This window comes from Homo sapiens, chromosome 7, assembly GCF_000001405.40.
Source record: "Homo sapiens chromosome 7, GRCh38.p14 Primary Assembly".
In the NCBI taxonomy this organism is placed as follows: Eukaryota; Metazoa; Chordata; class Mammalia; order Primates; family Hominidae; genus Homo; species Homo sapiens.
Window position 1 is genome coordinate 82,033,780 of NC_000007.14, and position 16,483 is coordinate 82,050,262.

General features: G+C 34.4%; 1 protein-coding gene across 15 annotated transcripts in view; it reads right to left on the reverse strand.

Annotated features, from left to right (window-relative positions):
- CACNA2D1 (calcium voltage-gated channel auxiliary subunit alpha2delta 1) overlaps window positions 1–16,483 on the reverse strand; it is a 497,513-nt gene that overhangs the window by 87,336 nt on the left and 393,694 nt on the right. For all 15 annotated transcript variants that reach the window (XR_001744873.3, XM_005250574.4, XM_005250572.4 and 12 more), the window contains exon 11: window positions 4,298–4,456. Coding sequence is in view for 14 of the 15 variants with exons in the window: in XM_005250574.4 (XP_005250631.1) it covers window positions 4,298–4,456 (159 nt within the window). In the remaining variant the exon portion in view is untranslated. The remainder of the gene's footprint in view (window positions 1–4,297; window positions 4,457–16,483) is intronic.

The window sequence follows — 16,483 nt, forward strand, 5'->3', positions numbered from 1 at the left end:
ATTTAGAAAGCTGGACTTCTCCGAGGTCCAAAATTATTATCTTAACTTTTCTACTGTTGTGAAATGTGTTTGCTTTAAATGCTGAGAATAAAAGATCACACTAATTTATGAATGCTCAGCTTCTTTGAAAATGTCAACCCTAGGTTCAGTGCTGTCCAAAAGAAATATAACATGAGCCTCATATGGAACTTTAAATTTTCTAATAACTACTTTAAGGGGAGTAATAAGAAATATCTGACATTAATCCTAATAATATATTTTCTTTAACCCAGTCATCCAAAATATTAATCAATATTAGGTATCAATCAATATTGAGATGTTATACAGCTTTTTCTTCCATAAGTCTTCAAACTTCAGTATGCATTTTATACTTACACAACATATCATTTCAGATCAGCCACCTTTCAAGTGCTCACTAGCCACCTGTGATTGTTGTTACCATATTGTACAGCATGGCACAGCCCTGGCTTTTAAATGACTAATATTTTTTAAAAATTATTTTTTCTTTAGTGTTCTAAGTCATTGAAGGTCCATGCTCTACCTTATTTTTTCAAAGAAGATAAAACCCATTTTCCCTTGTGAAAATTAATAAATACAACGTTTTTCTTTATTAATGAAAAGATCCTGTTTCAGGTCATCTCATTCCATGGACTCAGCCATTAGAACATTGGCAGTAAAAGCTTTTAATCAAACATTGTGAAAGCACAAGTATTAACTAATATAATTTGTCACTTTCAACATGGCTGTTATCTTTGAAGGTAACCTATCTGAAAATCTGACTACACAAAAAGTTGCCTATTTTATCATCAAAATAGTTTTGTGAAACATGCCTCAAATCCCTTAACTAAAATTAGTTTCTCTAGTGATTTGTCTTTTTTATCTGCATGTGTAAAATAGTCAAAATAATATGTACCTAAAGAACTATCCTGTAAAAATGTTAAACAAAACCATAGGACATGGTTTTGTTTTTGAAGTACTGAAAGTACTATTATTGGATGCAAATATCAATGTAAATCAACACATTAGGTCTTGCTGATCATTTGTATACTTACGTAAATAAAATTATAACAACATTTCCCGAGAGAGAGATGTTAGGGCATACACAAAAGAAGGAATATGGGGAAAATAAAGAAATTGTTTTGCCTTCAACATGATTTTTCCTAGGAGTAGCCTCTCAGGACTTGTGGTGGAGCCAAGTACATAATAGCAAATTTTCCATGCATTTGCAATTATCTAAAGAATCACACAGCGACAACAATTAACTGGCTTTGAACAAATTAAGCCAAAAAAACAAGATTGTTTCAATAAAATTACAATTAGTAGAGTTGGTAACTTACTTTAATATGGTAGTTTGCTGTATTTCTGTGTGCCAGTATATAGCACAGCATCTATCATATATACACTCTATATAAAGTTTTTTTGAAAAATGCATATATATGGTAATATTTTATGAAATGGTACCTGAAGATTAATTCAAATCTAAATGTAAGTTTTACTTTGGGACTGATATGTCTAATGCTATTTAATACTTGCTTCAGTGATCTTAAAGGTAAATGCTGCGAGGACAAAAAAAAAACCAGAATGGCATTTGAGCAATAAGATGACTGGAAGTGTTTGAAAGAAAACACAATATGCTTCAAATTATTTTAACATAAAGAATTTCAATATATATGTGGGATGTATGGAAAGTAAAACACATTAGACTTACTTAGGGAACAACTGGGACCATATTTTAAAAATCACTACAATTGTAGCAGTTATAAAGGCAGCAGGAGAGGCCAATAGGAGTTAAATCATATTTTATCAGCAACTAGTAATAAATCTGGAAGTTAATGTGGCCTCTCTAGTGAGGCTACCTCTGAAATTGTACTTTACACTTGAAACTCCTGATCATTTCACAACTGAAACCTAAACAGGAGGCAATGAAGTGAGGGGAAAAAAAATACTAAGAAGAATAATTAAAATGCCAAGATCAAGGAAACTCAATTATTGACTTAAGCAAAAAATAATTTTTATCAAAAACAACCATATTCCTTTACTAGAGGAAGGATACATCTTAATCTAACGGTTAATTACAGTACAATTTTGTAGTTTTGAGCTTTTAATTTTTATTAATGAACATACAACATTTAACAAACATATGCATCTCACCACACATTATTTCCCTTGGAAATAGCAGGGCTGCACATCTCTGATTTTCTGTCTTCTTAATCTAACGGTGTCTATTAAATAACATGACCTCAAATTCAACATATCTGAAACTGAGCTATTTCTACCCCCACATTTCCTCTATGTGTGTTCCTGTGCAATCATCTACTTACTAGTTCAGTTCAGAGAATGTAGAGTCACCTAAGCCCCTCTCACTCTGCAACCCAGCCCACACCACTTAATCAGTTCCCATGCCATGCTCCTTAATAGCTCCTCACTTCTATTCCCACACCAGCATCTCTACGAATACCTTCCTTAACTTAGAACACTCCAAGGCCATACTATAAAGTTTTCCTTTGCCCCTAAACACTTCCTTAACTGATACCTCATGGCCTTTCCATTTCCATCAAGTTCCTATATTGCTCATGTCCCAACTATGCCAGCCATCTGCAATTTTTTACTGTGCTATGTTGTGTCACACTTCTGTGATTTGTCTAAAATATGCTCCTTTTTCTGAAATAATTTTCCCTTCCTCTACCTACCTAAGTTCTAATCATTCTTCAAAACCTCATTTTCACGGAAATGCCACACTTTTCCTGACCTCCTTTGAGGAGCTGGGCCCATCCTCTGTGCTGTCCCAGGGAACACGCTAAATATCCTGTAATGGCACTTGCACACTGTTCTGTGGATGATGATTTAGCACTCAGAGCAGCTGGTCCTGTTTACTTCTATAATTCCAGCACCAGCACTATGACAGGAAATGGTGATGCATTCAATAAATTTTGGCTGAATGAATAAATGAATCACCCAATTGGATATCTCAAAAACTATTTAGAATATTCACTCAGGAACAACAAACTCATATTTGCATAAAGATCAAATATAAGAGTTCATTCAGTGATTCAGCAAATATTAACAGACATTATGATCTGACTTTTTACCAGATGTGGGCTAGTAATTACAGCAATAATGACCATGACTCCAATACCACCCAGCAACCTACACCTGCGTGTGGTTTGCTACATGCCAGGTTCCGTGGACAATCTTATGCACAATTCTCTGAGGTACATGTCATAGTGACCTCTAATGCATACAAGTGGAAACCAAGGTGCAGAGAAGTAAGGTTCCTACTCTCAAACATGATAATAATATTGCCTAGTAAGAAATAAAATAATTGAACAATGGTCCCTGCTTTTAAGTAACTCAAAGTGAAATAGAGGGCAAGGCAATTTAAAAACACTAGTCCACAGTATGAGACACACACTATAAGGCTGGAAGCGGTAGCTCATGCCTGTAATCCCAGCACATTGGGAGGCCAAGGCGGGTGGATCACCTGGGGTCAGAAGTTCAACACCAGCTTGGCCAACATGGTGAAACCCCGTCTCTACTAAAAATACAAAAATTAGCTGGGCATGGTGGCGGGTGCCTGTAATCCCAGCTACTTGGGAGGCTGAGGCAGGAAAATCGCTTGCACCCAGGAAGCGGAGGTTGCAACGAGCCAAGATCGTGCCACTGCACTCCAGCCTAGGTGACAAGAGTGAAACTCCATTTCAAAAAAAAAAAAGACACATGCTATAACATGGGGCAATAAGCACGCCAGTATCTGACAGTCTAGACACTGATGAGTGATTGTGGGGAATCCTCACTCAGAAAGAATTCCTGCTCCGGGAGTTGCATTTCTGTTCATCTTAATGTCTACCATTTGGAACTTTCTGTACATTTTAGGAACAATTTAAAGACCCAAACTAGATGTTTAAAACTAAAATGTTCTCAGTAACCATTTGATGATTGAAAGTGCAAGGTTACAGATAAATACTGTGGTGATTGAGATAAGAAAAAGTAATGATATTCTATATAGGCCAATTAAGTTTCAAGTGCTTATTCAAAATTAAATTATTTCCTTATAAATTTTTTTAAAACATAGATAAAAAATATCAAAAACTTAAAAATCTACATTTTAGATGCCTTTTGAATTTTAAATTCAAAGATAAAAATAGTTCAAAGGTTTCTTCTGCCTGCACACATCTGTGTTTTAAATAAATGAAAAACAGCACTATCTAATCCCAGAGAGTAGTAACTATCAGAATATTGAAATTCAGATACTACAATTGAACAACAACAACAACAAAAGACATAGCATGATACTTACATTAAGCAGCTGTTCAAAAGCAAAACTAAAGCCCTTCTTATAATCTGTAATTCCTTTGGCTGTGATATTATTCACCGCGTCTTTCAACACTTTTTTATTTCTTACATTTGCTTGGACAAGGTGCTGAAAACAGCTTACATCCTGAGCATTGCTGTTAAACTGCAAAAGATTAAAAAGTAAATATATAAATGAACATTAAAATCAACCATATAGTTTTCATAGAATTTGTGTTTGATACTCCTAAACGGTATTGCATTGCTTACTCTTTCAAATGGAAAAGTGAGTAGGCTGGTGACAAAGGTGCATTAAGAAACCAATGGCTATTTTCATCTGAGCTACCAACCCATACTGGAACGCTGAGTCTGCTGCTTATATTCCCGAAGCCTGCTTTCCCTGCTTATAAATTTGAGAATTAAATTATATGACATCCCTTCTAGTTCTCAAATTTAATGAGCATGTAGAAAAAATAATCCAAAGCAATGAAATAGATGCAGGATCCAGAAATGATATGGGATGCTTGCCCTGGTTGTGTGGACATGTTAAATATTTTCATTGCCTCTTATTAGGAAAGACTGGTTGGAAAAGTAATACACTGAATAACATGAATCAATGTTTAGTCATTTTGAAATCTGATGGTACTGTCTTTCTACAGAGGCTAACAGAGGAAAGCAATCTGAATCAAGAACAACTGGTAGCCTTTTAGAAATATCACTTTAGAGGTTACTAAAGAGTGCCAGGGGAACCTTGGAGGCAAGGTGATGGAGCCCTGAACAGCAGAGAGGCTGTGGGAGAGAAAACATCAACTCCAACGATAACTGCCCAAAATGGAAAATTTAAGAACGATCATCAAAGTAACTTCGTCAACCCCATAAAAAATATTCACATCGTTCCCTGGATATTTCCAAAAAGAAAGAACAATAGGAATGCTGCAACAAAATCCAGGATAAGAGGATGAGTGGAGTCATCCAATCATTTATTAACTCTGTAATTTGTGAAAGTTATTCAGGCTCTTGGCACCTAAACTGTCACATCTGCAGAATGGGAATAATAAAAAAAAGCATATTTGCCAGAAAAAAGGGACTGGCCAGATAAAATGTTAAAGATATTTTCACATCAAAAACATATACTTATTTTAATGAGTGGGTCATAAGTTATTACATATTCTTGCAAATATAATTCATCATTTTTTTCTCTGAAGATCACTGAACGTAATTATAAGGTACATTGCACAGTTCATCAGTTTATTAAGCAAATATTTACTAGCAGCCTATTATATGCCAAGAATCATGGCAGGTAGTAGTTTTATGCTTTCAGACATAATTATCTGCACACACAAAAATACCATAAATATATAAACAGTTATATAGTGTCTACTATGTGCTGCATTTACTACATATTCTACAAATGTAAATCATTTCGTCTTTGCAAATGCTCTGCAAGATAAACATTATCATTATCCCCATTTTATCTACGAAAAAAACTCATCCTGCATTGCCTCTCAATATAGTATAATAAATTATGATTCATTCTATAAAGCAATATAATATTATGCTCTAGAAGACAATATCAGGAGAGGCATTTCTAATTTGGACTGCAAACATTTGAAAGAAAATTCTCCTAAGAAAAGGCATTTCCTGTGATTCCAGAGAAATGTTCCAGTGAAGAGCACAAAGGAAGAACATTCCAAGCAAACAGAACAACATGTGCAAAGGCCCTCACATGGAGACAAAAGAAGCCTTTTTAAGAAAACATAAAGAGAGTGAGTTTAGCTCGGTCTCATAGGAGGACAAAAGACATAAAATGAGTTCAGAGAGGGAGGCAAGGGCTAGATCATGTGGAGTCTAATGGAAATGCTGAAGATGATTTTATTTTCTGTGAAATGGAAAGTCACTGGAAGATCTTAAGCCAAATGTAAAATAATTGAATCTGGAATTTTAAGAGTGCATCCTAGCTGCTGTGTGGAAAATGGACTTGAGATGAGCACAATATAAAGCAGGGAGAGTAATCAGAAGGCTTTGCAGTAACCTAGCTGAAAATACATAGTGGTTTTGTTATTTGTGGAGATGGTTAGAAAGGGAAGAATTCAGGAGGTATTTCTGAGAAAGAATCAAATAGGACTTGGTGGTGGATTTAGCAGGAGGATGCATAACAGAGCGGTATCTTCAATAACTGCCAGGTTTCTGACATGGGCATCTGGAAGGATAGAGGACTGGAGGGATGACTGGTTCAGGGATAATTGAGGAATAGAGAAGAGAAGCACAGAGTTCAATTTAGGGTGAGGTTTCAATACATGTGAGATATGCAAGTGTACATGTCAAGAAATGATAACATTTAAAGCATGAGGCTCAAAAGAAGTCTTGGCTAAATAATTTATTCAAAAAAAAAAAAAAAAAAACAGAAGGCTTCAGGAAAAAAAAATGGTTTAAAGCCATAGGAAAACAAAACAAAAAAAAGTAGAGTAGAATAGCAGTCCCTGAGAAAACTAAGTAAGAGCAAGTTTCCATGGAAACAGGAGAGAAATCAGGAGATTGGACTGTTTTGGATGAGAGAAAAATGTGTCAAAAGGAAGACACTGTGTGGAGACAGGGAAGATGGGGACTTAAAACTGCCCAGTAGGGCCGGGCACAGTGGTTCAGACCAGTAATCCCAGCATTTTGGGAGGCCAAGACGGGTGGATCACCTGAGGTCGGGAGTTTGAGACCAGCCTGACCAACATGGAGAAACCCCGTCTCTACTAAAAAATACAAAATTAGCCAGGTGTGGTGGTGCATGCTTGTAATGCCAGCTACTCATGAGGCTGAGGCAGGAGAATCACTTGAACCAGGGAGGCGGAGGTTGCAGTGAGCCAAGATCACGCCATTGCACTCCAGCCTGGGCAACAAGAGCGAAACTCCATCTCAGAAAAACACAACAAAACAAAACAAACAAAAAAATGCCTGGTGAACTCATCCACATTATGTAGGCAGCCTTGGGTTGGGGGGGTGGGGAGGGCAGAACGAATGGACAGCAGGAGCATCTGAATGCAGGCAAATCTGCAAAGTGCCTTGGCTGGATGCAGAGCTGGAAAACAGGGTGGCATCTGTAGGGTAGACTGGGGGTCAAGAAAAGTCTATTTTAAAGCTAGGGGTCACTCAAGCATAAGAAGACTGGTGTTAAAGAGAGAAGGAAGAAAAAGATGCAGGAAATAGAAGAGAGGTAAAAAATAAAGCTCGTCGAAAGGTAGGGACAGATGGATCCAGGTGACACACAGAGGAATGGCCCTTTAGGAAAATGCACATCAACTTCATTATTCTAGGAAAGAAGAGTGGAAGCTGACCGAGCCAGGTGGTATGTGGATTTGGATGATGATAGTTACTGTCTGTGGCATTTGTCTCCTTTAACAATGAGGCAAGATGATCAGGATAATGAGAGGAGAAGGAAGGCTTAGAGAAAAGAAAAAACAAGAGGTAAAATGTCCTGCACAGATAGTAAGTCCTTTTTCATGTTTATTTTGAACAAGACTTTCATGAATATCACCAGTGTGAGAATAAAGTTCCAGTATATTTATTTACTGTTTTCTATAAATTCAAATATTGAAAACTGAGTATCTTCAGGTCCAAATGACCAGTCCCACTGCCTCTTTTATCACTCTTCTATTCTTTGGTTATTGGATGCAAGCTTATTCTACATGTTCCATTTTCAAAACAAATAAATGTTAGCATTTCCCTGTATTGGTAAGTAAAAATACAGTTTGCCAATACATTAATAGTAAAGTGACCTTAGAGAATTATTAGAAATGGTTACAGGAAATATTATTAACTGACTTATTTAAACCATGAATCACCATAAAGGTACAAGTTATGCAGAAATTGAGCACTGAATAATGTATTGCTCAGAGTCTTTCAGTTGGCCTTGACCTGCTTTTAACACAGAAAAGTGAAGCATCTCATTAAGTGACTTTAACACAAACTGATTAAATGTAAATTCATTCATTAAATATATATTCAGTAGTGTATAACAGAATTACTATAATTGCACTCATAGTAAAACTCACAAATAATGTACAGAAAGGAATAACTTACAAAGTATAACTCCCTATAGCAAATCTTACTCTCCTAGGAAAGTGATGAGAAATTTGAAAGTTTACAATCAGATAAGACTATATTTCACAGATATCTTAGACTCATCAGCTTATATCGTATTATGTATGTTTTAAAAATAGGTTAATTTTCATGGGCTGAAGTGGCAGTCTTTGATAACACGTGCCTACATACTAATTTAAAACCACATATTAAAAACCTTAGAGCAAAAGTGTAATAGCAAATATATTACAGAACTTTGAAATGGTATATGGCGAGTGAAAAGAGATTGAAGGAGCTCTGATTTTTTCATCAATTAAGAAAATACTTCTTGTAAAAGTGTGTATTTAACATGACAGAGTCAGAAATCCAAACTAACATCACATTGATTCCTTTTCCAATCCCAGAAAATTCAACTAAGTAGGTCACTCATTAGAACTGCTGAGGACAATTTCTGTTAGCCTGTTTAGATAGGAAGGCACGTGTGTTAACATGGGCATCTGGGGTAAAAATCCTGGAGGGTTTGTATTTCTACTCCAGCATTGGGGCATTCTTTCCTTTGCCCTTCCACATCTCTTGTTCCTTCTGCCAAAAACACTTTTTCCCACTATATGTACTGTTCCTCTGCCTACAATACTTTTTCTCCCTTCTTCACTCAGTCCTCATGAAAGTTTTCATGACCTTCCCTGACTAGATTAAGTCACCCAATACTAAGCTCTCTTAAATCTATCTCTTTTTTACAGAGCACCAGTTATAATTTCATATTTCTCTGTATCCTAGCTTAATAAATAGACCCCTCTATTGGATTATTAGCCCACATGGCCAGAGAATATGTCCACACCACCACTGCATTTTCTGTACTTGGCATGTAATAAACATGCTATAAATATTTACTGAATAAATGAATAATGGATAAATGTTTAAACTCTTTGGATGTGGACTTTAAGAAAATTAGAAGCCAGTATAAAATGTTGATCAATAATCAAACTATGGAAATTAGAAGTCAGTGTAAAATGTTAATCAATAATCAAGCTATAGATTTATAAGTAGATGAATTGCATCTTAGCTCTGCAATATGTTGTTAAACTTGTACATTCAAAAGTACAAATACTCTGTCCAAATAGACATTAAAATACTCAAATAAAGATATACAGAACATCTAACATAGAGTCTGACATACAGTAGATGTTAAATGGCAACTCTATTGTTTTAAAAATTATTTTAGTAAAAAGGATTAGGATACTCAGTACTAAAATTAGAACAGATTCCTAATTCATAAGATTCAGATAAACTGCCTCAGCTGTATTGAGCTTGAAATAAAGTTCACTAACAGGATGATACAAGTGTCCCTCAAACATTAGTTTGGTGTTTGAAACAGTTTCTGATAAAACTATGATCAATGCATTTCAATACTTCCAAAGAAACTTCTTATTAAATATCCCAGTCAGGTACACAAATTGAAAGATGCTTTCCAGTCAAAACAAAGTATCAGTATCTCAAATGAAATAACCCAAGCTTTTGGTTTTGTAAAGGCAGTCTCTATTTTTGCTCTAATTTCCCCTGCTGAATATGAAATCATTCCATAAAATATTTCTGAGAAGAGGGACTCTGCTTGTCATCACATTATGTCAGGATACAAACAATGAAATATTCCTGTTGCCTTAATACACGCTACAAGTCAAAGAAGCAGAAAGTTACGGGAAGTGCCCTTTGTCTGGAAATGGCAACTAGAACACATCTTCTTGGAGTACCAAGTCTTCCTTTGAATGGTTTAGTGCAGTCAAGTAGTTCTGCACTGGAAACATTAAGAATTAATGACAAAAGACATTCTTAAGGTCACATATTCTACTTGAAACTTCAGTGAAAGAGAAGTAGCTCATTTATTATTTGCCCACTCAACCTGTCTTTTTAAAATTATTTTTAGTTTTAAAAATGAGAAAGGGTCTTACTATTTTGCCCAGACTGGTTTCGAATTCCTGGCCTCAAGTGATCCTCCCACCTTGGCCTCCCAAGCAGCTGGAATTACAGGCATGAGCCACTGTATCCAGCTCTCAACATGTCTATTAATTCGCATCCCTTCCCCTCAGAAAGACCGTTCTCCTATGTATGGATTCTAAATGTTTAAAGGCAGGCTTTCTTTAGGGTACTTTGTACATTGTTTAGTCCTAAAGCATTTTTAAGAAGCAAAAATAGGACACAACTATAGTTTCTGAAAAAATTGTTCAATATTTATTACTTAACATGTCTTAATGTTTTATTTTCTCTATTTCTGGCATGTAAAATAAATAATGGTGCAAAATTGTTGGCTCAAGCCATGTAATCATCAGCAAAAATAATAATTCAAATCCAGACCTGACTGCTTTGGAAAAGGATTTTTTAAATTAAAATAATATTAGTACACTTATTTACACAAGTTAACTATGATGGATAACATACACAACAAATTTATATTTTGTAAGATTAAATAATTTAAATAAGAAACAATAAAATTTTGCATATTAGTAAGTACAAACACAAATTATGGTATCAGACACTATCCACATTTTGGCCACCAGATGGCAATGCAGGAAAATAAAAGGAAAATGACCAGAGGCTGTGCGCTCCAAAATTTTGGCTGTGCTTGTTTTATGTACTTATTCCTATTTTTAAAAAACTTTCAAAATTTATTTTGATTTTCATATTTTTCATAGTAGATTTGGACTATAAGAGATTATATGAAAATGATTATTCTAAAATCCGGATAAAATAGCTGATAACATTTATTCTTACATATGTGGATACATTCCCAGTTAAGAGTTATTTCTGGAAAACTGATAAGAAATAAGATTTATAAAGTGGCTGTTTAGAATTCAATGTCTGGGTGAAATGTTATAACTGCAGTCAGGACTTTGGTTCATTTGCTACTGTGACTTAGCTGCATTTTTGTATGTTTAGTATGTCTTTGAATTTCAGAAGTCAATAAATGAATAGAAAAGCCCAGATTAATAGAAAAAAATGCTTTCTAGGTTATCTGTTACCAAATTACTTTCCAAAAATTTTGTGCCAATTTAAAGTATATATGTGCTAGTTTCACTGCAGCCTCATAAACACTTCCCATTTTTTATTTGCTGAACTGTAAATAAAAATATTTCAATATTTTAACTATTTGAATTTGATTGCTAGCAAAATGACCCTTCTCATATATTAATTTTTGTGTAGTTCTGTTTTTCCAGATTGTTGCTTACTATTTAATCTAAACCTATGAGCCTATTCCTTTACTATTTCTTAAAAGAGTTTTGTACTTAGAAAATCAACCGTCTATCAGTCAGGAAATTATTCATCTGTAACCTTACTGATGTTTCATGGGTTTTGGTATATAGTCATGGTGGAATTTAGTTTCCCCAACACTATGAGGTGATAACAAAATTAGGCAATTTGTTTTTACAAATAGCGAAATTTCCCATTTATGATACATTCATTCATGATACATTCCTTACAACAAATTAAGATTTTGAATACATTTCTGTAATTTTTTAGTCCTTTGTCCCTCCGTTATTTCATGAGCTTGCTTTTTAATATGAATAATTTTAAAAAGTATTAGCTAACATGTATTGAGAATCACCTGCGTGCCAGGCTAAACACTTGATATCCATTAAGTTGTTTAACTTTCAACAAGCTACAGTTTTAGTTTTAATAGGCTTCCCATTATATAGTTGAGGAAATGAGGTGTACGATGTTAAAGTGTTCAGAGTCAAACAGCAACCAAGATTCAGAGCTCAACCCCAAGCGCAAATTCCCTGACGCACTTTTCTCTAAGGTCTTTAATCATTTTCAATTACAGTTTAATAACAGAGGAGAAAGCTACCACATCCCGTCATGTGATATTCTTCACAACTGTCTTCCTACTGCAGTAACTTTAGAAATTTTTGTCAAATTAAAATTGCTCTCATGAGTAAATTAGAAAAACTGCTATCTTCACATGGGTATCCTTTTCATTCCAGGAAAAATTATTCATTAATTCCAAATATCAAATCTTTTAAATATATCTCTCACACTCTTTTCTCTATCTTTAATATAGGTCCTAAATATATTACTAAAAGTACTGCTAGTTAATTCATGACTTTTGCTAATGTTGTGAATGTGATTTTAATTTCTGTCGTTAATCCCTGTCCAGGGAAAACTAGAAGGTATGGTCACCCTCTCACAGTCAGAGACATAAATATCTTCACTAATGACACTCATGGAGTTGGCCACTCCACTCTTCAAGTTGACGGTGCTGTTCCCAACAGTGGCTGCTGGTTTGCGGTTTCCTTGGTCCATTGTATAAAAAAAGAAACATATTGAGAATGAATTATCTCTTCTTTAATCAATTTAGGAAAACCAAGTCTAGTCCAGGCCTTGCCTCTAATAAGCATTACAGCCAAAACTGATTCAATTATCTCCCCTAAGCTGCAGATTGCTCCTTTCTGAAATAAAGGGTTTTTCTAGATTAGGTGGAAAGCCCTTCAAATTCTAAAATTATATAATTTACATCAGCTAGTTTAACAATCAGGACAAAAATGTAAATATGGAATAAATTCTGTATATGTCTAAAAAATGGCACCAGTAGATAAAATGGAATACAATTCCCTATAATTATAAAGACACGAATTGTGTTTGCCTATAAATGTAAATCATCATTCATCAAACATTTCAATAAATATTTTCATTTTTAAACAAATATTTCAAACAACTCAAATCATGATGTAACCTATATTTAGTCTGTTTACCTTGTTGAAATCTTGGATGGATTTCTGAATAAGTCCCAATTACCATTTTTAATATATTCTTTTTATATTTTGATAGAGAAAATTTTATAATTCTCTAATCATATTCATTTAAAAACATTTGAAGCCATTGAAAGTATGCTGTTCTTTTACTTGAAATGTAAACTGAATTTAGGATCCCCCTGCATCTCCACCTGACATTTCTGTCTTCTCAACCATCTCTTAACCAACCACTGTGCACTCCTGAGTCCACAGCACTTTTCCAACTGGAAAAATGGGCAGCTTTCTTTCCCACTCCATCATTCTCCAGGTACAATAACCTTATCAGTATTATTTCCATTACAAATGTTTTTTGCATAGCCCTCTAGAAATTTGAATGCCAGCTCCTGAAGACAAAACCTTAATGAAATGATGAAACAATCACATACTGTCTGATCTGGTCCCCTTTACCAACACTGTGAAGCAGACATGACCAATATGTACAATATTTTCATGATACCTGAAGCTGAGTACTTGGAAAATTCCCTAGTTGAAAAATAAACTAAAACAGATGGCTCAGTTTGCTTGAAGAACACAATAAGAATGGCATACATAACTAATGTGTTTGTAGAGCAGAGATACTACAATACTGATCATATGAGTGAGGATGACTGGCCACATAAGAACACAAAGTTAACTTATCACTGATTGAAACTGTTTATAAAATTCTGACATCCATCTAGTACATTTTTTGTTCAGCACTGTTCTGATTGACAAAAGGTAGAGTCAATTCAAGAACCACCACTACGTGCCTTGAACTACTCTATGTACAGTAACATTAGTACAAAAAAGACTCTCTCTATACTCAAAGAAGCGTACATTCTTGGAGAGGAGGGAATACAGAGATATAGAAAATAACAAACATATGTAAAATATCAGGTGAAGAGAAATGATAGAAAAAATGAAGTGACGTGAAATATTAAATAAACGAAGTGGTTGAATAACTAAAATCGGAATGCTGTCTGAGAGACAGTAGTCAGGGAAGGCCTCTCTATCACGCAGTATTTGAGCAAAGACCTGAGCTGGGGGAAGATCTGGGGGATGATCAGGCAGCTATCTAGGCCTGGAAGCATCCAGATTCATGTAATGGTAAGCAGAAGTAATTTCTCATCTGTACACATCTACAAGACATTCACTAGACAGAAAGGATACATCCGCCTTTTAAGAAAGTTTATTCACATCACCAATGAATTCTTATAAACATTAAATTGTATCTGGGATGCAGAAACAGCTGATGACAGTTATCAACTAGGGTTGAAGGAATTATATTCAATTTAACTCAGTTCCACTGAGACAAATTATATACATCTGGAAAACTTAGAGCATGATTATGATATAAATTAATGACAAAAAGATAGGTAAAGAAGATACCTATCAAACTACATAGCAGGAGAGATTTCATAACATTTTAAAATATATTTTAAAGTGTGCAATAAACATGGATTACTGAACAAAACATTACAAAGGTGAATTAGTTGTAGAAAAAATTGCCAATATTTTTATTTGAAGTTTAGAACTTATACAAATTGTCACTTTATGAAAAATCTCTTATACATTAACATAAGGTAAAAATATTTTCATGTCTTAGCATATTAGTTTTCAAGCTATAATATATACATCGAAATTCTCAAAATGCTTTTTTTATTCCTCTAGGAATTTGATGAAATAGATTTTTATTCAACAATTAAGATTGCAGTGTATGCATTTTACAAATAAGTTCTCATAGTGTCAATTTACATTTGAATTTCTTTTGAATTTTAAGCCTACTAAATAATTAAGAACAAATATGATAGTTTAATTTAATTTAAAGAACTCTGAACAATTCTCCTACATCTATTGCTCAGGCCAGCCCAAGTCACTCTCTTTACCTACACTCAAAATTAAATGAAACTATAATTTAAAAAATTTCATCTAATAAGTACTCACATACATGACATCTTTTCCTAGTCCTTCAAGCCCCATCAAATAAGTCAATAACTTTTATAATTCTAAAAACAATAGTTCAGTTTAGAATAAAATTATTCCCTTTGCCTCACCCTGAATATTACTTTGCTGTTTCCTTTTTACATATACGACGAATTTCTAAGTGCCAAAAACTTAGTGTACCATGTAATTAATGGGAAAAAAATACTTATTGTACTTGTCAACACCTTCTTATAAACTCTCTTTATATTTCCAAAGCAATTAAGTTATCTTCTGGCAACTCATAAAAAAAAAAAAAAAAGAAAAATCCTAAATAACCTTGGCGGCTTTGCCCTGCTATTATAACAACTAAATTTGTCCTTTTCTTTGATCTTTTCTTACTGTCCATAATTTCTTTATGTCTTTTAAATGAAAATACTTTTATAAAGGTCCCATCTTTACCTAAAAAAAGTGCATAAGAAGATAGAATTCTTCTTCTTTTAACAAATTCTCTTAATTCCATTTCTTCCTGTTTTAAGACCTCCTCCCATCCCCAAAGAAACAAATGTCTACAAAATAAAAATATTCAAACATCCATAGTATTAAGAATTCTATAATTACCAAGCTCTTAAAATCTGAGTCAGTGAAAAACATGATTATTTACAACAAGCCCCAGTTAATCATCTGCTGAACTTGCTAAAGGTACCTCTTTAGTATACTGATTTCCTCTTCTATAATGACGCAAAGCCCGCCAGTTGTACACACAGTTAACAGTAATGCGATAAAAACCCCTGCACAGGAATCACCCGGGGGACTTTCCAAATGCAGATGTTCTCCTTAGCTCTGGAGTGCAGCTTGAGATGCTGCATTTGTACCCATTGCTTAACAGAGCTCCCAGGCAAGGCTCAGACTGCTTGGCTACAGGCCCCACTTCGATGGCAAGAGAATAAACTGCAGTCTTCTTGTTGACATAAATGAGCAATAGATCAACATAAAGTTTTCCTGAACTCTAGATGGATGGCTTTTGATAAGACAAGAAATTATTCTCTTAGATTTGTCACAAAACTGTATTGACATGGCAAATATCTTTTATTTTCTTTGAGCTCTGGCAAAAAGAGGGTCTGTTTTCTAAGAAACTTTTAGCACTGGGGGATAGAAATTGCTTTTAAGTTCAAATTGTGCAGCAATTTACAATTGTACTCATTTTCATAGGCTGAGTAGCGAAGTTCCTTATCTAAAAAAGCCAACAAAACATGTCCTTGTCTAGGAATACATTAGGCATATTTTAGAAGGAAATCTGAAATTTAAAGCACATAGGAAATGGAACAATTGAAATCATCTCTTACTTGCCTACACAGTGCAACTCCATATTTAAACAACCTCCTGCTCTGGTATTAGTTGGTGTTAAACAATCAAGTCAGGAACTGAAATGTCTGAGATTT